The sequence below is a fragment of the Homo sapiens genome, chromosome 6 (genome assembly GCF_000001405.40).
Source record: "Homo sapiens chromosome 6, GRCh38.p14 Primary Assembly".
Lineage (NCBI taxonomy): Eukaryota > Metazoa > Chordata > Mammalia > Primates > Hominidae > Homo > Homo sapiens.
This window is the reverse complement of record NC_000006.12, coordinates 85,598,435-85,624,963: the sequence shown is the minus strand read 5'-3', so window position 1 is coordinate 85,624,963 and position 26,529 is coordinate 85,598,435. Positions and strand designations below refer to the sequence as shown.

The 26,529-nt window shown below is 37.0% G+C and overlaps 1 protein-coding gene across 16 annotated transcripts in view; it reads left to right on the top strand.

The window, feature by feature from the left end:
• Window positions 1-17,180, top strand: part of SYNCRIP (synaptotagmin binding cytoplasmic RNA interacting protein) — a 36,087-nt gene extending 18,907 nt beyond the window's left edge. For 4 of the 16 annotated variants that reach the window (XM_017010178.3, NM_001253771.2, NM_001159673.2 and 1 more), the window contains 6 exons: window positions 852-987; window positions 2,277-2,482; window positions 5,547-5,696; window positions 6,025-6,146; window positions 9,617-9,983; window positions 12,041-17,180. In XM_017010178.3, coding sequence (XP_016865667.1) covers window positions 852-987; window positions 2,277-2,482; window positions 5,547-5,696; window positions 6,025-6,146; window positions 9,617-9,983; window positions 12,041-12,082 — 1,023 coding nt within the window. In that variant the 3' untranslated portion in view covers window positions 12,083-17,180. Of the gene's footprint in view, window positions 1-851; window positions 988-2,276; window positions 2,483-5,546; window positions 5,697-6,024; window positions 6,147-9,616; window positions 10,989-12,040 lie in introns of those variants that run through there. The other 12 variants (NM_001439161.1, NM_001439159.1, NM_001439162.1 and 9 more) reach the window with 6 other exon arrangements.

Genomic DNA, 26,529 nt, shown 5'->3' with positions numbered 1-26,529 from the left:
TGTAGAATAGATTTTGAGGTTAGGTGTGGGAGGATTAATCAATAATTATTGCCGCTGCTGCCGCCATTATTAGTAACAAATTTTGAGGTGTGGTTTTAACTAACCCATATAATCCACTTTTCTAGATTACTTGGATACTTTTGCACTTGGGTTTGTAAATAATACTAATTGGTGGATTTGTCACTTTGACATGTTGCTTTTTGCCTCTGCTTTCTGATAATCTGGGATATGGTTACTCGAAAATTCAATTTACTTTTTACTGTAGTTTTAAAGTTGTTTCTGTATATTTTTGCCATGACAAATCTACTTCTCTTTCTCCTTCATAATTTGTTATATGCATAATGAAAATGAAATGGGGAAAAAGTACAGTTGGATTTAGAAATAAAAGCTGTTTTTTTAGGCTTAAATATTTGAAGCCTGAAATTTCTTATTACAACTTTTGATAAGAGGAAGGGAAGATGGAAAAATAGATTTAGGTGCTGGTTAACAGAACGGCAGAGATCTTGCTGATCTTGGGATCAGTTTTCCTTGTATGAGAATAACTGGTTGATGGGATGAACTTAAGTAAAAGTTAAGTTTTTGAGGAACTGGCAGTTTTTGAATTTAAGCTGCTGCAGATCTGATTTCTAATTAATCAAGTAAAGGATTTAATAACCTTTTATTTGCATTAAATTGGTTCATGAACTTGTCCAATGGGTCTTGTTAATATAATCTGTTCCTCATAATTCCCTTGTATGGGAATTAAGGTAAACTACTTTTTAAAGGATGATTTGCTCTTGTGTATCTTTTATAATTAACTGTTCTAGTTGTATAAGTAATTTAAAAACATGATGCACTTTTTCCCCTTTCAGTATAATAATCATGAAATTCGTTCTGGAAAACATATTGGTGTCTGCATCTCAGTTGCCAACAATAGGCTTTTTGTGGGCTCTATTCCTAAGAGTAAAACCAAGGAACAGATTCTTGAAGAATTTAGCAAAGTAACAGGTAAGTTGGATTTATTTGGAATGAGGTGCAGCTTTTAATAATGAAGATTAATAGCATATTTCTGTGCGTCATGCATTGTTCTAAATACATTTATTGACTCATCGAATCCTCACTACAACTTTTGAAGTGTAGGTAACCCCATTTTTCAGATAAGAAGAACAGGCATTCAGGGATTTGGGAAATAACTTGCCAAACGTTGTACAAGTTAGTAGGGAATACAGCTAGGGTTTGAATTCATTCTGCAAAATCATTGTTCTTCCTATGTTTTGGAAGATCGTATTTCTTTGTGTGTTCTTTCTCTAGGTGTTAGTTGATGTTCTTAGTAGAATTGTTTGAATAATGATTTGATGTTCTTGAAATTACAGGAGTAGTAAGTATTGCCGTAGCAGAGTGTTTTTTTTTTTTTTTTTTTTTGGAGACAGTCTTGCTTTGTTGCCCAGGCTGGAGTGTGCTGGTGTGATCTTGGCTCCCTGCAGCCTCTGCCTCCCAGATTCAAGGGATTCTCTTGCCTCAGCCTCCTGAGTAGCTGGGATTACAGGCGCGCACCACCACACCTGGCTAATTTTTGCGTCTTTTGTAGAGGTGGGGTTTCACCATATTGGCCAGGCTGGTCTTGTACTCCTGACCTCAAGTGATCTGCTTGCCTCGGCCTCCCAGAGTGTTGCGATTACAGGTATGAGCCACCGTGCCTGGCCCATAAACAGAGTTTATATATTGTCAACATGGTAAAAAAATTTTTTGAACTGTAACAACTTTTAAGTGACAGGTTGCTTTTAGAAAATATTTTGGTCTGCCAACAGTGTCTAACAAATTATCAGCCTGTTATCAACTTTCAGGACATTGGAAATTTTTATGCAGTACTTATAACTTCTATTTTATTTGAAATAAAGCCATTGATATCTAAGGCCAGAAAAGTGCCATTAAAAATAATTTTAGTGTTTGCATAATAAGAAAAATAGCCATATTTGATCTATACTGCCATTTTCTTAGAACAATTATATGAAAATTTTTATCTGCCTCTCTGATCTAATTAGTGAAAACAAAAGTAGTCCTTACCTCTAAAAAGAGCACATGTTCTTTTCTGGAGATTTCTGTGTTGAAAAACTTGGAAACAGATTAGGAAAATAATCCGGACCTAGTTTTTGATAGTCTTTTATAAAGATGTCTAGTGAAGGAAAGAGATGATTTTTCATTTTGATATTTAAGTAGTATCTTAGATAAATCCTTTGATCCACTTGTATTTGCTAGTTATTTCATCTAATTTTCCTGGAATGGTTGCTTACTTGCAGAGGGTCTTACAGACGTCATTTTATACCACCAACCGGATGACAAGAAAAAAAACAGAGGCTTTTGCTTTCTTGAATATGAAGATCACAAAACAGCTGCCCAGGCAAGGCGTAGGTTAATGAGTGGTAAAGTCAAGGTCTGGGGGAATGTTGGAACTGTTGAATGGGCTGATCCTATAGAAGATCCTGATCCTGAGGTTATGGCAAAGGTAATGATAGTCAAGTTAAAAATATTTTTTGAGGGATTAATGGGAGAAGGGCCGGGGTTGGGGTGGGGGGAACATAAAATGAACAGTATACATTTTTTTATTTTTTGAGACAAGAGTCTCTTGTTTCCCATGTTTCCCAGGCTGGAGTGCCATGGTGCCATCTTGGTTCACTGCAACCTCCGCCTCCCGGGTTCAAGTGATTCTCCTGCCTCCCAAGTAGCTGGAATTACAGGCTCCCACCACCACACCTGGCTAATTTTTGTGTTTTTTTTAGTAGAGCTGGGGTTTCACCATGTTGGTCAGACTGGTCTCGAACTCCTGACCTCGGGATCCACCTACCTCGGCCTTCCAAAGTGCTGGGATTTAGAGGCGTGAGGCTATTGCACCTGGCCCTGGACACATTTTTTTTTAAACCATATTTTTAGAGTTGGGAGAAATGTTCTTTACTACGGGACTAGGCAGTGCGCACTGGAAATACCATGTGCCTGCAAAGTGAAAATAGAAATTGATGCGTGGATACTTAGCCATAATTGTATAGCCATCACAATCTTGTAATGAAGTCGCCTACATGCTGTAGACAGTTGACTTCCATTTTGTGTGTTTTTTAAGAGCAATTTGAGTTTTTGAGAATGGCACCATTAGTTTACATGGTTTTGGGGTTAAAAGTCTTACTACTAAAAACAGTAAATTATACTGGCCGCAGCAGAGGTGCTTGCAGTTACATTTAGCCATTATTAGGTATCCTGACTTCAGCAGTCAGTGGAGACATTGTATAAGAATAAACATCCCTTGAGTCAACACTTTATTACACACTGGTGCAGTAATTTGCAGTTATTTGTTCTATCCTTTGTTCTCTTTTTTTTTTTTTTTTTTTAAGTGACAGGGTCTAGATCTGTGGCCCAGGGCTAGAGTTCAGGGGCATGATCATAGCTGACTGTAGCCCCAAGCTCAAGAGATCTTCTCACCTCAGCCTCCCAAGTAGCTAGAACTACAGGTGTGTACTACCACACCTGGCTAATTTTTTTAAAAAATTTTGTAGAGGCAGAGTTAATCTCCCTGTGCTGCCCAGGCCGGTCTTACAATTCTTAGCCTTAAGCAATCCTGCTTCCCAAAATGCTGGGATTACAGGCATGAGCCACCATGCCCCAGTTATCCTTTGTCTTTTAAGAATTCCCTCTTTGTTACTTACAGGTTAGGTGTCAGACACCACTAGTTGAGTTAAATTGAGGGTAATATGAACTGCCAGGGAGCTATGAATATTATTGAAGGATAAGTGGTCTTAGAGAAGAGAAAATAGTTAGGATTCATTTTTCCTCTGGCCTATAAATTCTCATTGGGTTAGCACTTTAGATTAACACATTCAGATGGTATTCAAGTTATTTTAGGAGGAAGTGATAATGTTAGTGAAGAGGTTAAATTTTGTAATTTTACTTTGAGAAGCTTTCAGGATTGAGAACAGTTTGTCTTACTAATATTTTGAACAGTCCTTCCCCCTTTAAGATTTCAAAAGCAGGTCCTAATTAGTTTTGGCCACTCTTGTTAAGTGTTAAACATTCAATAACTCTCTTAGAGGGCATGGTATTTACTTTGTTAGGAAAAATTATCTTTTTTATTGCAAAATAATTACTAATTGGTAATTATTACTGATGTAGCCTGTAGTCTGCATTTTCTTTTTCATAGACTTCATTAGAGCAGTTTTAGGTTTACAGCAGAAAGCACAGAATTGCCATATGACTTCTGCCCCCTACACAGGCACAGCCTTCCTCACTACCAGTATCCTGCACTGGAATAGTACATTTGTTAAAATTGATGGACGTAGATTGATTACCTAAAGTCCATAGTTTACATGAGGTCTCACTCTAGATGTATGTTCTGTGGGTTTGGAGAAATGTATAACCGTGTTTCCATCATAGTATTATACAGAATAGTTTCACTGCCCTAAAAATCCTCTGTCCTGTGCTTAGTCATCCCTCCCCATTCAACCACTGGCAGTCACTGTCTCCATAGTTTTGCCTTCTCAGAATGTTACATAGTTGGAACCATACATTATGTAACCTTCACATTGGCTTCTTTCTCTTAGTAATACATATTTAAAGTTCTTCTATGTCATTTTGTGGCTTTTAACTAGTTTCTATCAGTTATAATATTCCTTCTGTATGTGCCACAATTGTCCATTCTCCCATTGAAGAACATCTTGGTTTCTTCCAATTTTTGGAAATTTTTTTGTTTTTCTTTTGAGACAGAGTCTCGCTGTGTTACCCAGGATGGAGTGCAGTGGCACGATCTCGGCTTACTGCAACCTCTGCCTCTTGGGTTCAACCATTTCTCATGCTTCAGCCTCCCGAGTAGCTGGAACCATAGTTGCGTACCATCGCACCCGGCTAATCTTTGTATTTTTGTAGAGACGGGGTGTTACTGTGTTGGCCAGGCTGGTCTCGAGCTCCTGACCTCAGGTGATCTGCCCGCCTCAGCCTCCCAAATTGCTGGGATTACGGGTGTGAGCCACTGCGTCTGGCAAATTTTTGGCAGTTACAAATAAAGCTGCTATTAACATCTCTCTCTAAGTTTTTGTGTGCATGTAAGTTTTCAACTCTGGGTAAATAAGGAGCAGGATTGCTGGGTCATATGGAAGTGTGTGTTTAGTTTTGTAAGAAATCGCCAAACTGTCTTTCAAAGGGGCTATACCCTTTTGCATTCCCACCAGCAATGAATGAGAGTTTCTATTGCTCTGCATTCTTACCTGCATTTATAGTGTGTTGGATTTTGGCCATTCTAATAGTTTTGACTTGCGGTTTCCGAATGACAGATTATATTGAGCATCTTCATGAGATTCTTTGCCATCTGTATATCTTTTTTGGCAAAGCATCTATTTCAGGTCTTTCAACATGATCCAGCAGTTCTGCTGCTTGATATTTACCCAAGGAGTTGAAAACTTTTTTTTTTTTTATATTCTGACATTCTTCTAATGGATTGTGATTTGAGTTAACTTTGTAGGGTGGGGTGGTGGTATCTTAGAAATGGAACTCTTTGGAAATAATACAGGGGGGTATTTTCTTCCCCCTAGGTAAAAGTGCTGTTTGTACGCAACCTTGCCAATACTGTAACAGAAGAGATTTTAGAAAAGGCATTTAGTCAGTTTGGGAAACTGGAACGAGTGAAGAAGTTAAAAGATTATGCGTTCATTCATTTTGATGAGCGAGATGGTGCTGTCAAGGTAAATATGGTGGAATTACAGGCATCTAAATCAGACTAACAAATTTAGTCATTTTAGAATCTCAAAATAGTTTTACAAATTGGAGGAGACTTTGGAAGTCCATGGAATCCATTCAAACTAAAACCTTTTGGTTTTAGTGATGTTGGCAGTTTTCTAAGTAAAAATGAAAAATAATTGAATATCTGCATCTTTAAATAAAATTATTTGACTGCCTGCATGGGGCTTTCTCTTGTCCTTCCCACATTAATGATAAATGATATTCCAACTTTAAATGAATCATAATTGTATGAAAGTCCTATTTTTATATTGACTTATCTAATTTTTTAAGGCTATGGAAGAAATGAATGGCAAAGACTTGGAGGGAGAAAATATTGAAATTGTTTTTGCCAAGCCACCAGATCAGAAAAGGAAAGAAAGAAAAGCTCAGAGGCAAGCAGCAAAAAATCAAATGTGAGTGAAATTTGTATACTTAAAAATTGTATAAATTTTAATATTTATACACTAATTGGAAAATAACAGGTGTTGATCAGACTTGTTAAATGCATAACATCTCTTTAAAGAAGACTTGAACGTTTGAGAGTCATAGGGAAACACCAGTGATCTAAGTGTTTATTGAACTCTTACTATGAACCATATTTGTGAAAATAATCAGAATTGTAAATAACTGGAATTTTGGTAAATTGGCAAGATGAAAAATCTGTCTAGCTTTTTTTTTGTTTTGTATTGGGTGACAGAGTCTCACTTTGTCACTCAGGCTGGAGTGCAGTGGCACTCTTTCGGCTCACTGGAACCTCCACCTCCCGGGTTCAAGAGATTCTCCTGCCTCAGTCTTCTGAGTAGCTGGGTTACAGGCGCCACCATGCCTGGTAATTTTTGTGTTTTTTTTTTTAGTAGGGGTGGGGTTTCGTCATGTTGGCCAGGTTGGTCTCAAACTCCTGACCTCAGGTGATCCGCCCACCTCTGCCTCCCAAAGTGCTGGGATTACAGCTGTGAGCCACCATGCCTGGCCTATCTCACATATTTTCTTTGTATTTTACAGAATGTTCTTCTGAAAATGTCTTAAATATTAGCTGTCCAAATATCTTAATACATTTTGTTAAAGGGTGGAGAGTTTTTTCTCTGAGAGATAGGAAATACTAAATCTCTATTCATGATAGACTGTTTCTTCACCAGTAGTGCTCATTGCCACCCCAAAAATTTCATGTTCGATGGATGGATTTTGAAAATGAAATGAGTATTAAAATTATAACACAGTAGTGCAATAAGAAAACAAGTAGGTGTGTAATGAGTTATACTAATTAGGGAGACCTTTTTAGAGAATCTGTAAATAGGTATCTGCTTAAGACTGAAGGAAACTTAGTTGGGTAAGAATTGAAGTTAGCTCCTAAAAAGTTAGTTACTGATTTCCTAGAAGAGGGGTAATTGTTCTTGAATGTGAGAGCAATAATCACTGTCAATACTATTCAAGGTTAATTTTCTGTTGATTGCCCTGTTTGGAATTTAAAGGAAGAGGATGCTTCTACATATTTCTGTTACTTCATAATCAGGGAATTGATCAAGTTCTAGTTTCTGCAGTTAATTGTCCAGTTGGACAAGTTGGCAAGCTCTGAACCTCAATTTCTTCAGTTCTAAAATGGGATCAGACAAAATTATGTAATAGCTCTGGATTATGTGATTATCCAAGTGACCCATGCTTGTTCTGGGACCAAAGAAAATATACTTTGTAGGTTTGATGATAGTGTAAATGAAGGAAGACTACAAAAAGAGTTAGTTTTAATGCTCTATATTTCAAACACCTGGATATACTAAACAGTGTAAAATAACTTCTTTTTATTTCTTTCAGAAGACGATATATGGTTAATTTATTAAAGTAGAATGTAAGTATAGGAGATTATATTAGATAATGTGATTAGAGCAGTTACATTTGGTACTTGATAGAGGGAGATACTAAATAGAAGGTGGAGGATGTCAGTATATCTGTTAATATTTGAAAAGGAGTACAAACTAAAAGGGATGATTGCATGTTACTTTCGTACTTTAACTTGCTACAGTCTTTTTTTTTTTTTTTTTAAGTTTTAACTAAGCACGTATTCCTACATAATTCTCACTGTATTCCTGTGAGTTAGGTACTCTATCCCTTAGTTTGAAATGAGGAAACTGAGGCTCAGAAGTCAACTTCCTTGGGGTCATTCACATAGTAAGTAGTGGAGTTGGATTTGAACTAAGGTAGTCTAGTCTCCCATAATTTTCCCTCTTAACCACTATACCAGGATTTCTCATCTCTGTCCTCCTGACATTTTGGGCTGGATAATTCTTGGTCTTGGGGGCTGCCCTGTGCGTTGTAGGACTTTTAGCAGCATCCTTGGCCTCTTCCTGCTAGATGCCAGTAGCACCCCCTTTCTCAGTTATGACCGTCTAAAATGTCCCCCTGGAAAGAGGTGGTGGCAAAATTATCCCTGGTGAGAACTATTTAGAAATAGAAAAGGATGATCTTTCCATCATTTCCTCAAAACAATAAACCAGCAGAGCACATAAAAGGTCTAAGGACCTAGTGAACCGGAATAACATTTTTACGTTAGTCAGTTGGAACAGGGGCCTTTAATAATTCAGGATAAAATAAGGCCGGGCGTGGTGGCTCATGCCTGTAATCCCACCACTTTGGGAGGCTGAGGTGGGCAGATCACTCTAGGCCGAGGTGGGTGGATCATTCGAGGTTAGGAGTTCGAGACCAGCCTGGCCAACATGGTGAAACCCCATCTCTACTAAAAATAAAAATTGGCTAGGTATGGTGGCACATGCCTATAGTCCCAGCTACTCGAGAGGCTGTGGCAGGAGAATCACTTGAACCCAGGAGGTGGAGGTTGCAGTGAGGTGAGATTGCGCCACTGCATTGCAGCCTGGGTGACAGAGCAAGACTGTGTCTCAAATAAATAAATAAATAAAATAACATAACAGGTACGGAATAAAAAACACGAGTAAATTATTCCTTCAAGAGGGATTAATTTCCATATTTCATGGGATTATTGGGCTCAAAATAATCACTAAGTTTTAAGGAATTGTATAAAATTGTACTGTAGGGAACATGAGTTGGAATATTGTAACTTCGTTTAGTCCTTTTACATAGTATGTAAGCATATGCTGATTTGTGTGGTTGCTTTCTAATCACTTTGACAACTAAAGTTATACCTGTTTAGTGGTTAAAGTTCAGCACTATAGTTACGGTGTAGTTTATTTTTGGGAAAGTAGCAGATCTTTTAAATTTTACTTGGATAGCATTATTGTAGAAACAGGAAAACTTTAAGGTCTTTATGCTAATTTACTGTAGTAAACTTTGAACTTCACACATTTTGGTTGTGTGCTTGTCCTACTTGCCATTTTGCTTTTGTAATAAATGTTCTTCAAGTATATTGGAATAGAATCTTAGCAGAAATGCAATTCAAAGTGACAAATTTTTTTTTGAGTCAGAGTCTCGCTCTGTCACCCAGGCTGGAGTGCAGTGATGTGACCTTGGCTTACTGCAGCCTCCGCCACCTGGGTTCAAGCGATTCACCTGCTTCACTCAGCCTCCCGCATAGCTGGGATTACAGGCATGACCGCTCCCAGCCCTAAAGTGGCAAATTTGACAGCTAAATCAATTGTAAAAATTCTGTAACAGGTTTATTGGGAGATTTTGAAGATCATGAAGAAATAAATAAGGTTCATAACTAGAGATTTGTGGTATTTTGGGATGCCTATATTGTCATCCTGATCCTCTGATCATTACTACTACTAAAACTTAATCTAGTACAAATAATTCTGTATTAAAGTTATGTGAATTATGCGAAGTAAACTCTGGATTTAAACTGTTACAAATGGCTAAATGCCTACTTGTTAACTAAGTAATTTGATTTAAACTCTAATCTCTGTCTCTTTTTTAATAGGTATGACGATTACTACTATTATGGTCCACCTCATATGCCCCCTCCAACAAGAGGTCGAGGGCGTGGAGGTAGAGGTGGTTATGGATATCCTCCAGATTATTATGGATATGAAGATTATTATGATTATTATGGTTATGATTACCATAACTATCGTGGTGGATATGAAGATCCATACTATGGTTATGAAGATTTTCAAGTTGGAGCTAGAGGAAGGGGTGGTAGAGGAGCAAGGGGTGCTGCTCCATCCAGAGGTCGTGGGGCTGCTCCTCCCCGCGGTAGAGCCGGTTATTCACAGAGAGGAGGTCCTGGATCAGCAAGAGGCGTTCGAGGTGCGAGAGGAGGTGCCCAACAACAAAGAGGCCGCGGGGTACGTGGTGCGAGGGGTGGCCGCGGTGGAAATGTAGGAGGAAAGCGCAAAGCTGATGGGTACAACCAGCCAGATTCCAAGCGGCGCCAGACCAATAATCAGAACTGGGGCTCCCAACCCATTGCTCAGCAACCGCTCCAAGGTGGTGATCATTCTGGTAACTATGGTTACAAATCTGAAAACCAGGAGTTTTATCAGGATACTTTTGGGCAACAGTGGAAGTAGAAACAGTAGGGCCTCTGTAAAATTGGAGACTGATAGGTTGATCAGAAACTCACCCTAAATCTGAACGGGTGCCGCTATAATTTGTGACATCTGGCAAGATTTCCCTTTATGTATATATTTTAACAATCCGCTTGGACACGAACAAAGCCACACTTCTAACTGCTTCTGGCGAACTGATTTTATTTTTAATTTTTTTCAATAAAGATATTCTTAGATACTGAAAGAAATAGTTAATGAGTTTGCATTTGTGCTTGAGAAAATTTGGCTCAAGTCCATTTGGCTGTAGTGTCAACGATGTTTCCAGTAGTGTTTAGATTTGGTGTCTTCAAAGGTAGTTGATTAAAACCAAGTGTGTCTTTAATATCTTGTATCAGAATAACTTTGTATGTTACCAACTTAAATTGCTAGAATAAGGTAAATTGATACACAACTGCTATTTTTAATTTAGAACTTTGACCTAATTTGGGTTTTCAAAACCATTTTGGCTACTTGTATTCTTTATGCTGTTGTTTATTTCAATAAAAAATTCACACCTAAATGTATACTTACTAAAATTGTGTTTACAATTCGTTTTTCACAAAATTTCCTGCAAATTTGGTTCAAATTGTATAGCATGTCAAGGCCAATTAAAGGGTTTTGTGCCTTGTTAATTCTTGTGTGGAATATGTCTGCACATTACACAACACTGATTTATTGCAGTTTTCTGCTTCTGGTTTAAAGTGCTATTTTACAACAGACTTCATGTTCCCATCAAAAATAAAAAGATAATACATGTAGTAAGTTTAAGTTGGTAAGTATTTTAGAGTTCTTAATTGTGATGAATGAACTGTATAAAAGGACAAATTCAGGTAGTCTCAAAGGGTTTGCAGGTCACACTGACAAGTCCACTTTCAGTTGCCTAAAGTTTATCCTAACTAACCTAAAACTCAGATTGAGTATATTGCCCTCTTGACTGTTTTGCACACCATGGGACTAGAAAGCAGCAAAGAAACTCTAGTGTGAAAACAATGGGAATAGGTTTGGGTAATTTGTGAGTTGCACTCTAAATAATCACTGTACTTACCTAATTAAAAATAAAACAGCTTTACAGTTAGTTTTGGGTAAGCAAATATATATCTGAAGGATAAAATTTACCTCACAGACTGGTTTGTATTAAAGATCTAATAGTTTGGATTTTTGTTTCACATTTTAGTCTTGTTTTGGCCATATGGTCTATACTTCTAACAGTAATGATGGGAAAATGTTAGAGTTTTGGGGGACAGACTCTAGGTCAACAGTGAAAAGGTTTAACAGCCACTCCCCACTTCTGAACCTCCATCACCCTTGAATTTAAAGGTATTATACCTGACAATAAAGTTACATGTGAAAAATACATGACTTGAAAGACAAACTTTCTTAAAAATGTCACTAAATTTCAAATCTCAAGGTCAAACAAGTCTGAGATGTTTGCTTTCAGCATATTTTATGATTACTTCATGTCTCAAAAATGGGAATTACTTGCAAGTTAATGGGTAACTTTAAGGTGTGACTTCATTTAGGTTTCCTGTTAGTCTTTTTTTTTTTTTAAATAAAATCAGTTTGTGAACAAAATGGGGTTTTCAAACCTCAGTCCAGCCTCCTCACTCAAAGGGGCAAAAAAGCAACCAAAAACCTCAAAGCAAGTAAAAAACAAGCAAAAAGAAGTTCATAGTTATTAAAGGCAACTTTTTTGGCTAGACAGTATATTTAGAATTACCATGTTAAGGCTTGTCTTTTTAATGTTATCATTATGTATGTACACATTATTAATTTAAGATGATTTATCTAACTGATTCCTTTTGTTACCTGGCTAGCAGGGAAAAGGGGTCGAGGCCGGTCCTGACCTGTTACAATGAAGACTGACTTGCTATGTGGGATTACACCAGAAGCTTGCAGTGGAGTAATGGTAAGGAAATCAAGCAACCTTAAATATGTCGGCTGTATAGGAGCATATTCTATTGCAGAAGACCTTCCTATGAAGATCATGGAATCAAATACGGGACATTGAACTAATACTTGGACTTTGATATGAATTTCTTTAACAATTTTCTCTGCAGTGCAAGTTATTAAACTAAAGCTACTCTATTTTCAAAATGTGTTCCAACAGAAATCCTTCATAACTCCTAGCATGGTATCTTAATAAAGAATAAAGTTCTTTTAAAAATCTGCTCTAAGTAGATTTTTCCCCTTTTTTAAATTAAGGATCCCAACAGTGGTATTTTGAAATATTCTCTTGAATTTGTGCATTTAAATTTTATTGCAGTGGTATAGATGAATGCCACTGATGGTATCCTTAAATTTTATTTCTGCTCACCAAGGTTAATCATGATTGTCTATATCTTTTTTATAGTGATCACTTTTGAATTGTGTTCAGATATGCAGTTTCAGGTGTAATCATCAGAGCTGGTTAGTCAGGCATTCCAGATAGTGGTTCTTTTCAGAACCTTTTTAAAAGGGTTGGTTAACTACCTCAGTAGCAGAGGATTGAACTATACCCTGTCTGTACTGTACATAGAAAATCTTTGTAGATAAAAGCAAGGCTTGTTAAATATGATATGAGGGTAAGATTTTAATATACCAAATGTAACATTCTTAGTTGCCTTTAGTTTCAGAGGCTTGTAAGACTTCCTCATGACCATCATAACAGGCCTTGCTTTTGTCGTATTTTGTGGCTGAAAAAGCAGCCTTGCTTCTTCAGATATTGTAGTTATTTGGATGTATAATAGTTTAGCAAGATGTTACTTTTGTAAGACATCAGATGTTCAAAAAAGTGCATCCGAACTTGTACTAAATACTGCAGTGTCCCTTTATAAAAAGTCAGACTAAAACTGACAATTGTACAGCGAAGCCTGACATTTGGATATTTTGAAGTTTTTTCATAAATCATAGAAATTAGTATATGGCTGTAGTTTAGCTTTTTAGGTAAAAGGTATGTTTCATTAGTGCATTTCTTCCTGCTGATCACTGTAAACATGTGAATCAGCTTTCCATTTCTTATGCAGGTCATGATAACTTGTAGAGTAGAGTACAATCATTTGTGCTATGTTTTTAATTTTCTAAAGCACCTTGATGACAGTGAGTGTCCAGTGGTGAAGCATCCTCTATTGAACCACCCTCAAAAATTTTTTTGCCAAGTCCTAAGTTGATAGCTTAAAGTAAAAAGTGAAAATTATAGTTTCATTAGGACTTGGTGTAAAGAAATCCCCTCCCCCCTTCCCCAAAGGGATACTGCAGTTATATCACATACCCAATAGGCACCACGATGAAGATCAGAGCTTATACTTAATTAAGGTTTTATACACACCAGTTCCCCAGTAAATGCAAATTTAACAAGAAAATCAGACATGTCATATGTTCAAAATGCTCATGGCAAACAATCATTTTGCATTCCTGCAAATAAAATTGTTTTATACTGTAAGCTGGAGGCGAGTGTAACTTATTTTTGTAATAAAGTTTTTATTTTTTTTATGTGTCATTAATATAAATGTGTGTTAGTGTAGAAATCTTCTGGTTTAAAAACTTAGAATTGCACACATTTCAGTATGTTTATTTGTACTTACATAATTTTAGAATAGTGGTTGCCAATAGCCTGTATGTTTCACATTAATTGGTTTTTTGTTATCTAAATAAATCATTTTAGTATGTTGTATGTCAGTTACTGGGATAGCTGGGACATAGAGTGTAATTTAAAATTTGTCAATAAGTATTCATTGGAATATATGTAAATGTGCCTTGCCGGTTATTGAAACTTATCTACAAAATGAGTATGGGGTGACAAAAATTAGTTCCTGGTGCTTAATGAAACTTTCTGCCACTGATTTTATATATTACCCCGTGCTTTTTTAAAGTACATCTCTCTCAAAACTTAGTGTAAGTTTGAGGGCTACACAAAACATTTACATTTCATTCTAACATAATGAATATAATAGGTTGTGGAAAGTGGGTAAACTAAATGTAGCCTTCAGTAAAATTGAATCTCAGTGTAATCCTTGGTGCTGGCATTTCTCAGTTCCGAGGAGTTAAATGATCCCATCTAAGAGGTCATTGCCATGCCTATTGGCACTTTACTGTCATAGCATTTTTAAGGGACACTGTCAAGGTGTTTAAGTTCTCAGAATTACTTGTTGGGATTTTAGGACAGGTTTGTTTACTTAAAGTAAGAACTGCATTGTCAAAGTTGAAAGAGGAACACTTTTGTGAGTTCACAAATGTGTTCTTAAGAAAACATTAAAATATGGAGCTCTGGGTTTTCAAGACTATTTGGCATTCTTAATTTGGGGACTTGGGAGGGAAACTGATAAAAAGAAATTGAAGAATTGATGGTTATACTTAAAGAAGGGTAATGTAAACAGTGGTGATGAAATATATACACATCAAGTGAAATTACTTGACAGTGTTCATTTGAATGACTTTGAATTCAAGCCATTATAATTACTTTTAAAATTAAATATCATTTGCACTGTTCTGATAATGGGTGCAGTTTTTGAGCAATATAATCAGAGCTAAATATGCATGTAGTGATTAGTGATGTGAACAATTAACGTTCTGAGAAGAAATACTAACTGTGGTATTTTCAAACTTAAATTTCTGTAGTAAAATCAGTATCAAAGTCTTATCAGATCAAGGAAAAACAGGCAATGCATATAAACATACTTTTGAATGTTGTGTGGCCTATAAAGCAATAATGCAATTTATATGGAATGTCATGGGATATGAGAAATGGAAATGCAAAAATAACTAATCCTTTAGTAAAAATGTCAACATGTTAAAGGGGGAATGTTAACTAATGTAGGTTATTGCTATTTGTGATTTGTTTATGGGTTCTTGGCTTTGACAGCTTCAAAGAATGGACAGTGATAAGTTAAAAGAAATTTTGTATATTGTCAAGGAAAGGGTCTTAAATCCGAGTCAAGTCCCTTCCTTGGGGTAAAAAATGTATTCTTAAAGCATTCTGATGTTAAAAAGAAAACTTAAGTTATCTAACCAAAACAGACGCAAGATTTTGTTTCTGCAGACTACTTGGCAATCAAAAGTGATCATAAATTTAGGTTATCAGTTTTCAGAAAGTTGCTTTGTGAGAAAATTTTGTTAGATATATTCTCCCAAGCATGCTTTTTGTGGAAGGTTTTCAGCCATTGCCACTGAATCAGATGTTAAAAATGAAGGGAAAATTGAGTGTGCACACACACAACTGTTGTACACTCATGATTGCAGTTTTTAGCTTAAGAAACTTTTCTACCAGTTACTGTGAATCTGACTTAAAATGTAAAGTTTCCTCATGATAAAATAGGAACAACATAGAAATGGATTGATGGGGTGATCTGAGTTATTGTATATAAAAGTTTTTAAAGAATAGAATGAACATCAAGCTAGATAGGCAAAAATTGACACATTCAGAACAGCTTTTTTGACTGCGAAGCCAAAAGTTGTCAGAAACAGCAAAAGATCCCTTATTATTACAGAGTATTTTACGTAGTCTCTATTTTAAGGAGAGAAATTAAATAGAAGGGCTTCATGCATTTAGGGGAGGGTGCTAAAACTTCTCAAGTTCGTCAAACTTACAGGAATACCCACCATGATCATTTTCTCTCTAATTATGTATACCACAAAATTTTCATCTGGCCATAGGAATTCACTGGTGGGTGTAAAATTAATGACTAAAGAAATTAAGTGACAAATACATAAAAGAAACAGACTTGTGGGGATATTGTTTTAAGGTGTATTAATTACTCAGTGATGATACCACTCAATAGGGCATGCCACTACTTTTCTTAAGATGCTAATTATGAAGCAGTGCTCACAGGCATTTTTTAACTAGCAAATTAGTAGATGGACTTTTGGGGTCTGTCACTTTTTAAAAGTATTTAAGACTTAAATTCTATTAGCACCACAGTCTGCCTTCAGTAATACACCTAAAATATTTTTCAGGACCAGAAGCATTCAGTTTGAAAATTTGCAGATGCAAACCAGTATTATTACTAACGCTCTGGGTCAAAGATTAGGTTTTTAATATTAACAGTAGTCTGGTAAATATTTAGAAGTCTGGCATTGAGAAACAAAAGCTTGTACCTGACTAGTATTTTTATTTAAAAAAATTAGTTCTGTTAGCTTATTTAAATTGTGTTTTATTTATCCGTAGAATTTATATTTATTTCATTCCTTTCATCTCACTGAAAACTGTCTGCAGGCCCTTTGATTTGGATTAGATGTGTGAAGTACTGTCTTTTGCCAAAAACCTCAAATTACCTGTTCTTTTCAACGTAGTGGGTTTGTGCTTGTTTGGAGATCAGTTCAAAAACTATCTGTACTATCTGTACTGCCTCTGATGTTAAGATTTTATGTATAGCATAAGGAAGCTAGCTCTGACTATATTTTCCTAAGAATAAAGACCTATTTTTGTAGCATGTCTTAGGATCTCCAGGAGTCCAAGAATTATTGTGGGTGTCCTCCAATTCATCACTCTTCACTTAACAGCTTTTAAGTAGACACTTGGAATCTTTAGAGGTCTGTCGCCCTTTGATTATCCATACATTCGAAGTAACTAGCCAATGGTGAAAAATTCCTCAAGATATCCTCAGTTGCAATCACATTACTGGAAGATGAATAGAATAAATGTATTAGGCTGGTCTTAATTTTTGATGGAAATATTCTGTTGTCCCGTACTTGCCATTGGATTTGATAAAGTTAGTGGTAATTTGGAAAGAATCGGGGACTTGCCAATATATTTGTGGGTTTTAGCTTATACCCCTAGGATTTCTTGGTTGCGGGACGAGCAGTTTTGGCCACTTCCATCAGGACAAGACTTTTTAGGTCACTTAGTGCAGGTTTTAGTTTCTATTTTGGATTAACAACATTTATATTGATTATCGAAAAGAAGCTTTCATCATTTCAGAACAGTCCTGGAAGTTTGACTTTGAGTGTGGGAGAAGTCCTAATAAACCATTTTGGAAATTAGTGTCTCCAAGTGTTACAGCTTCCTAAAATGGGTTTCTAACACAGTGGGATCAAAATAAGGTTATTTTAGGATAATATACTGTAAACTTAATTGACTGTCTGATTTTCTACTTTGTCTATAAAGTGGCTTACAACAGGTTCTAATCTAGAAAGGAGTTATAAAGGTTATCTGTAATGTTTATGAATTGTCATTTCTTGCCTTCTTTTAGGCTTTCAGCTGTATTCTGAAAAGGAGATTGTTGTGACAAACTCAACTTGTTTTGGAGAGAATTTTAGGAAACCTAAGGGATTTGGCGTTTTATATCATTTTTGATGTGCAGTTTTTGAGTTTTCAGGGCAGAAGGGCAAAGTATTTGGTGTGGACAAGTTGTTACCACAGATTAAAGAATAAGACCAGGGCTTGCTGACAATAAGAAATTTGTTAAAGAGTTTTGTAGGTTCCATATGGTAAAATTAGGTCTTGTAATTATAGAAACACCATGATATACAAGAAGAGTTCCAGCATACCTGTTATGGCTCGTTAATAGTGTTAACTTTAAGTTGAAATGTGAATAACATGGCATTTGTGTTACATGAGTACTGCATCATTTAAACACAAATTTGCTAAAGCTAGGTGCATCTGTATACTAAAACCCTTATGACATCATTTTTAAGAGAATATCTTTAATATGTCAGTATTTATGTTAATTGGTTGCTTTAATTGGAAGACTCAGGAATTAGGCCTCCAGTTGCTTTTAGTTTAACACGTCATGAAAAATTAGAAAAGCATATGTACAAATTGTATTTCTCAGTTTTATTTAATATTTGGAATATACTTAGAGGAAAACCAGAAATAAACAATGTTAAAGGTCATCTATAAAAATGGCAGAATACACTTTTCATTTCCACTCTAGAGCCACATGTATACAGTGTAGTTTTGGCAAATTTCATTCATACCTCTACCTCCTTTGCTGTTTTCCTTGAAATAGTAAAAATTCACATGAATTTGCAGAAATTAAGTTCTTAGGAGTTCTTCAACAGTATTAAAGACAGGTTCTGTTCCCTTTTGGTTTCCTGCCTAACTACAGGTACAGTTAAACATGGAATTAAAAGACAGCCTTTATTGTAAAATTGTCATGTAACAGATCCTAGTTGATCTCTGGTTTCCTGGAGATTTATTTAGCATTTGGGAGAGGATCAACAAAGGGGCACAGCAAGCAGATACTGTAGTTAGTATTATTTTTCCCTTTTTTGCTTACTGTCTATCGATTAGTCTTTAAATTACTAGTACATTTTATGATAAATTTCTTTGATTTATTTTACCTCCTTTTAGAATGGAAGCTCCTCGAAGGGCAGGGAAATCTGAGTAGGCAGGCATTTAAAAATATTTAAAATGTTCAGTTGGGTGGAAGTTTAGTTTTATTTGCCAAATTAGGCTTGTGACATGAGAATTTGACAAAGGGGATCAAATATTTCGAACCATTTAATTTATGGCATGGAAAGCTTTTAAAAATGATCACAAAGTGCTAATGATTTAAGTAAATTAAGATGAAGATCCACATTTAAATTATCAACGTGACACTTTAAAAAATTATAAAATTGTCTTAAGTTGAGGGAACAGTTGGCCTAGTGACTTACAGATTTTTTTATATGTTAAAATAACCCTATGTGTAAGTGACTGTTTTCCTTATTTGAAATTAAGAGGAAAAGGGTGCTCATAAGTCATCTTTAGCAGTGAACTTAACAGAATCCAGTGGATCAGTTTTCCTTTATGCTGATGTGTAGTTTAATTTGTGCTGCTGAACAAGACAGTATCAATTTATAAGCCCCCTATCTATAAGTTCTTTATGAGGTGAGGAGGGGGTACTTCAAGATGGAACTGTTTTGCTAATGAGGGTCTGGTTGGTTTTGAGTCTAAAGTTTTTATAAGGTTCTTTTGCATAGCAATTTGAAGGTGAGGGAATAATGATACTTGAGAAAAAGCATGAAGCCTAGATAACTAAAAATGAGGTGTTGAAAGCACCTGTTTCCGAGGGTAGTGTATATTGCTTACTCTATCTTAAAGTAACTTAGAGAAATGGTTACATACATATGAATAGCCTTATATTTACCTACCAATTGATAGGTAGCTGAAATTCAATAACCTGAATAGTGAGGCTCTGAATTTAACGTATTATTTCACTATACTATATATACCTCCTAATATCAGTAGTGTGAGTAAAAGTGGTATTTATGTTATGCTTAGTTGATGTTTTAACTTGATTTTTTAAAATCTAGAAGGACCTTTCCATGGAGTCCACTCCCAGATATCTCCTCCTCTCTTTAGTTCTCTCTTAAAATTTATTTTATTTTTTTAAGAGATAACGGTTGGCCGGGCATGGTGGCTCATGCCTGTAATCCCAGCACTTTGGGAGGCCCAGGGAACGGATCACCTGAGGTCAGGAGTTTCAGACCAGCCTGGTGTCTGGCCAACATAGTGAAACCCTCTCTCTACTAAAAATAATAATAAAAAAAAAGTCCGGAGAGTCAGGAGAATTGCTTGAACCTGGGAGGCAGGTTCAACCTGGGAGGCAGAGGCTGAGATGGCGCCACTGCACTCCAGCCTGGGCAACAGAGTAAGACTCCGTCTCAAAGGAAAAAAAAAAAAAAAGGTCTTGCTCTGTTATCCAGGCTGGAAATCTGTGGCACTGTCATTCATAGCTCACTGCAGCCTCAAACTCCTGGGCTCAAGCAGTCCTCCTGCCTCAGCCTCCCAAAGTCCTGGGATTACAGGCATGAGCCACTGTGCCTGGTCTCTTGGTTACGTTTATTACTTGAAATACACTTAAGTCTCTACTTATATGAATTTTAGAATCTGATTCTCATAAGATAAGGAAATAGTACACTGAGTAGTTTTCTTTTCCTTCATTTTCCACTTCCTGTTAGGTATCCTTCCTTTCTTACAGTCAGGATTATAAGATTTTACAACTGATTACCTTATACTTGCCTCTAGACTGAAGAGAGGCAAAACAACATATATAATGTACTTGCCCATCCTTGTCCATCACAGCAGTTTATTTTATATATGCACAGTCTTGCTCACTCTTGAATGCTAGAAAATTTTAAGTTACCAGTTTCTTATATGGTGCATTGAAATATTAGTTCACATCAGTTTTCTCTTTGTGCTTCTGATTTCCTCAGACGTTTGGTGATTCTTCATATTTATCAAAGAAGGATATTAGGAAAACTGGTGTTGACTTGTCTCCTGACATGGCTTACTGCACGTTCTGTGTGTGTGAGAAAATGAGGACTAATAGCCTTTATTTTTAGCTTTCGTGGGAGTAGTGAGGCAAGTAGGGTACCCTCTCCAGTGTCAGAAGAGTTTTCAATTGCAGGAATTTTGACTGCTCTCAGGTTACTCAGGAAAAGAAAACTTTGAGAGGGAGGTAGACCCTAAAAGCAATTTTACCACTGTCAAGTCTCAGCCCTTTCACTCCTACAAACTAGGAGGTCTTGCTTTTTCCTTCCCACTCATCCCCCCCCCATGGAAAGTGGCTCCTGCTGTTTGTAGCAAAATTAATATGAGCCTCATTTCTTCATCTTTTGTATGAAGGAATATGAATTTATCTTTTGTATCTAAATTGTGCAACTTAGTATAAAAGGTGCTAGTTTTAAAATAGAACTGGTAGTAAAACACAGTAGCATGGTGCCACCTCCTGAATTAGGAGAAATCTTAATCTGTATTATCACTTCCATATCACTGCTCATTTAAAATATATTGTCTTGGAAAAGTAAGTCTTACTTGGAAAGAGAACAGGTACATAGAGGACATTTTGTGACTAAGGATGCAAATTTAGTGACATTCTTAATTGGGAAAAGCATATTATTTTGGAAGACCTTTTTTGTTTTGTTGTTTTTGAGACAGGGTCTCTGTTGCCCAGGCTGGAGGGCAGTGGTGCAATCATGGCTCACTGCAGCCTTAACCTCCCCGGCTCAAGCACTCCTTCCACTTCAGTCTCCTAGTAGCTGGGACCATGGATGTGTGCCACCATCCCTGGCTAATTTTTATTTCTTTCGAGACGGGAGTTTCGCTCTTGTTTCCTAGGCTGGAGTGCAATGGCATGATCTCAGCTCACTGCAACCTCTGCCTCCTGGGTTCAAGTGATTCTCCCAACTCAGCCTCCTGAGGAGCTGGGATTAGAGGCGCCTGCCAACCATACCCAGCTAATTTTTTTATTTTTAGTAGAGTTGGGGTTTCACCATGTTGGCCAGGCTGGTCTTGAACTCCTGATCTCAGGTGATCCACCCGCCTCTGCCTCCCAGAGTGCTGGGATTATAGGTGTGAGCCACCGTGCCCGGCCAATTTTTTTATTTTTTGGAGAGATGAAGTCTCCCTATGTTGCTGAGGCTGGCCTCAAACTAGGCTCAAGTGATCCTCCTGCCTTGCCTCCCAGTGTGTTGGGGTTACAGGTGTGAGCCACTGTTAACCTGGCCTGAAAGGCCTTTTTGGAAATAGGTTCAGAAAATGTTTTCACATTTAGTTTCTGAACATTTAAAACTAAACCAATGAGAATTTTTTCCCCCATTATATTTAACAGTTTGTCTTTCTGTCTTGTTATTTTCAGCAAGGCAAAATTTTTGGCAGGTAATGAAACTTCATTCCTTATTGTGGCAGGGATCTCAAACCTACTTTCCAGATTTGATGTTCTGGGGTTTGATGAAAATCCATGTTAATTTACTTCTGGAATATATTCTATACTTCTGTCAACTCTGGTGATTAGGGAGTTTGATTTTCTACATAAAGACAAATCAAACTTCTTGAGTCACTTTGGCTTCAAGGTATCAAAACAGTTCTTAATTAGGTTTTGTGATATTAAATATTGGCTGATACCAAGGAAGAAACTGACTTGAAAGGTTTCTGGTACCAACAATCTTGGCTAATTTTTTTTTTTTTTTTTTTTTTTGAGACGGAGTCTCGCTCTGTCAACAGACTGGGGTGCAATGGTGAGATCTCGCCTCATTGCAGCCTCTGCCTCCTGGGTTCAAGTGATTCTCTTGCCTCAGCCTCCCAAGTAGCTGGACTACTGCTCAGCTAATTTTTGTATTTTTAGTAGAGATGGGGTTTCACCATGTTGGCCAGGCTGGTCTCGAATTCCTGACCTCAGGCCATCAGCCTGCCTCAGCCTTCCAAAGTGCTGGGATTACAGGCATGAACCACTGTGCCCAGCCTAATTTTGGCTAATTTTTCAGTGGTAACAGTATCTGGCCAGTCACACATAAAAATGTACATACATTCATATATATATATACACACATAATAGGAAACTAAAGAGGGAAATAAATCTTCAGTAGACCTAGATCTTTTAGTTAAAATTTATGGACATAAAATGCTCTTAATTTCTTAACCTTCGTGTCTTTTATTCATACGGCTTTCCCATTCTAACAAGCCTCATCTGGCTTGTATATTTATTTTCCACATATACTTACAAAGGTATAGGTTGGTGAAGTAAAATGCTGTCTGTGCATTAATGTAGTTTCCTCATTTCAACGACTTAGGTAGTCTTTTCAGGAGTTCTGGATGAGACACTGAAAATCTGTTAGTCATTGGGCCATTTAATGGAAGCAGCTACGTATAAACATTTAGCCTCTCTGAGCCTGAGTTTTCTTGTAAAAAGATATTTTTCCAGCTCTCAATTATATCCTATGAATACAGGATTTATAGGATCGTGTCTTTTTTTTTTTTTTTTTTTTTTTTTTTGGGAAAATTCTGCCTAGAGGACTTTTGACGTTATTTCATTCATGCTTTTATGTGGAGATTTATTTTCACAAAAGAATAAATGTTGCATTAAAAAGTAGACTTACTTCACCCTGTAATACCTTACATGTATGAACATTTGGTACATTATTTTTGTGATAGCTCTTTGAGGGAAAGACGGTAAATATGACTCTTGAAAGTTGAGGAAGCTAACACTGAAGCATATATTTTCTTATATTCTGAGGAGGAAAACTATCAAGCTCTCATTAGTCCACAAAGCATTATTCCAAGTTATTCCCAAATTTCCCTAAATTACCATGTTAATGCATGAATTGGGAGTTAACCTGAATCACATAGATGTTAGCTAATACATGAATCTACTTTTGTGGGAGTAACTCCATTTTAAAAAGTTTTAGAATAGGTGTTCATTTATTCTAAGTTTCTTAGTTTTGAAATTCTAGTCAAAATTCTCAATGCTAATAGATGAATGAACCTGATAAGTAAATACAAAACAGTCTAACTGCTAAACCAACCTCCTAGATTTTATTTATGTTAATAATTGTTCTCTAACAATTACAGGACCACCATATAGTCCAAAATAGCATCGGTGTTCTGATTACCAGTGACTCCCCAAGTAAACTGTCTTTAGGCTGAAAGTCCACATATTTAATTATCAGTAAAGCATCTTATTGCACCTTTTCTAGTGAGCTTGGTGGTTTTGGAATGATACCTCTTTTAAGTACAGTCTCTGTTGTACTCAGGCTGGAGTGCAGTGGCGCTATCTTGGCTCACTGCAACCTCCGCCTCCCGGTTTCAGGTGATTCTCCCACCTTAGTCTCCCAAGTAGCTGGGATTACAGCCACCACGCCTGGCTAATTTTTCGTATTTTAAATAGAAACTAGGTTTCACCATATTGGCCAGGCTGGTCTCAACTCCCGCCTCAGGTGATCACCTGCCCGCCTCGGCCTCCTAAAGTGCTGTGATTACAGGCATGAGCCACTGCGCCCGGCCTCCTCTCTTTTCAAGAGTTGTTCACAGGATACCAGTGTCCCCATATGAAAATTATATATTTTAAAGATTTAACCCCTATGGCATTTATTACATTCACTTAACCTTGAAAAATCTTGGCAATTTGCCAAGTTATCTCATCATCTATCCTTACCTATTCTTATTTTCCTTTTTCCCTGTATACGTGTTTCCTTGATCACATCTACATTACAGTCCCATATCACATCTGTGTGGACTCCTCTTTTAGTGTCAGGGCTTGCTTGATGTCTGTTACTTGCAGTTCTGCATTTCAGCTGTCTCCTGAACACATTCAAGTGCTCTTCTCCATCAGCAACTGTCTCATTAATTTCTCACTTCATATCCAGTCACATTTGATCATTTACTTGAAGAGGCCTGAAATATCCTCTCTATCCAGGTACTACCAGTCCTTTAGGAAGTTCAGATCGATCTGGCATAACTCCTTATAAATAAGTTAAACTACTAAGTGGCACATTTAATTTTGCTGGTTCTCTACATCTAGCTCCAGAGTCTACGACAGTATTGAATGAAATGAAATGCAAACCACATATGTAATTTAAAGTTTTATAGTTTGGCCCCAGTTCATCCTTCTAGTGTAATTTTCCATTAATACTGTCTAAAGAAACTGCCCGCCTTGTGTTTCTTTGGCTCATCTCACAGCTTCTGATGTCTTGAATTCTGCCCCATTTTCTTCAACCAAAATAGGTTAAAATCATCTTACTATAGGCACATTAGAACTACCAACATCTTATCCCTGAGGAACAAGTACAGTTTGGAGAACATTAAGATAAAAGTCTTGGCTTTGCCTTCTGGGGCAAATAAGGTTATTAGCTGATTTTTCTTCTTTTCTTGGTTTTGTTTTTTTGAGACGGAGTCTGGCTCTGTCACCCAGACTGGAGTGCAATGGTGCAATCTCGGCAGACTGCAACCTCTGCCTCCTGGGTTCAAGCGATCTTCAGCCTCAGCCTCATGAGTAGCTGGGATTATAGGCACGTGCCACCATGCCCGGCTAATTTTTGCATTTTTTAGTAGAGACAGTTTTGCCATGTTGGCCAGGCTGGTCTGAAACGCCTGACCTCAAGTGATCCGCTCGCCTCAGCCTTCCAAAGTGCTGTGATTACAGGCATGTGCCACTGTGCCCAGCCTTTATTGTGGTATAGGTTTGTGATACAAAAAATTTATCAGCCTCTGCTTAAAGGTAACTTCAGGAGCAAAAGTATACTTTTATTATTTTTTTTGAGACAGGTCTTGCTCTGTTGCCCAGGCTGGGTTGAAGTGGCACCATCTCGGCTCTCTGCAGCCTCGACCTCTGGGGCTCAAGGGATCCTCCCACCTCAGCCTGGGACCACAGGTGTTTGCCACCACACCCGGCTAATTTTTTTTTTGTTTTTGTGAGGCGGAGTCTTGCTCTGTCGCCCAGGCTGAAGTGCAGTGGCATGATATTAGCTCACTGCAACCTCCGCCTCCTGAGTTAAAATGATTCTCCTGCCTCAGCCTCTCGAGTAGCTGGGAATGTAGGCACGCACCAGCATGCCTGGCTAATTTTTGTATTTTTAGGAAAGATGAGGTTTCACCATGTTGCCCAGGCTGGTCTGGAACTCCTGACCTCAAGTGATCTGCCCGTCTCAGCCTCCCAAAATGCTGGGATTACAGGCATGCGCCACTGTGCTTGGCCCCTAATTTTTGTTGTTGATTTTTTTCATGTAGAGAGGTTTCACCATGTTGCCTAGGCTGAAAGCCACAGTTTTAAAACATCTGATGTCATTTGAAAATCTGATATTTCTATGCTTTGCAATAGCAGGAACCTTCAGAATCATTTAAATTATTGCTGCTACCCTTACAATTTTTTTGGCAGTGTGTATCTGGTAATTACAATCTTCTTTCCTCCACCATGGTAAGTAATAGTTTCTTATGTTGCTTTACATAGTAGAAAACACGATGGAACTTGGCAGAGGCTGAAGAGTAAATAGATTTAAACCAATTTAAAAAATAATTATGTTAACATTTGAAAACTCAGTACTTGCAAGGGACTATCTAGATAGGGATAATTTGTCCTAGGTGTCTTAACTGTGAAGCAGCTTAAATGCCCCACAAAAATTGCTCTAGTTCTGCCATCAGTGTTTCTGTGAGCATTCTTAAAGCTTTCTTTTTAGCCACAAGAAATAACTGAAAGCTGATGTTTTTAACTATAAGCATTTTTTGTTGTTTTTAACTAAAAATAGAAGTGATAGAACTGTTCTCTGAACATCTGGGGACAGCAGAGTTCTTAATTGTCTTGAGTACTTAAGAATATATCTTGAATTGTTTCACAAAATTGACTAGGACATAATGCTAAAAATTCAGACTGTTTTAGAATCTTGTGTTCATATGAGTTAAAGAAAAATTCAAATAGTAACTGTCTTTGAATATATAAGGGAAATTTTACAATAAAAATTTTCAAAATTATTATTCAAGATTTATACTTAGATATATTACGTTGAGTTTATTTTCTGGAATCAGCTTGCCAAAAGAGGAAAAGTTTATTTTTAGTGAAGGTAAAAATTGATTTTAATTATTTGGTAGCAACCCTTACTAGTAGAATAAGAGCTGAAGTACCAATATTAGTGATTT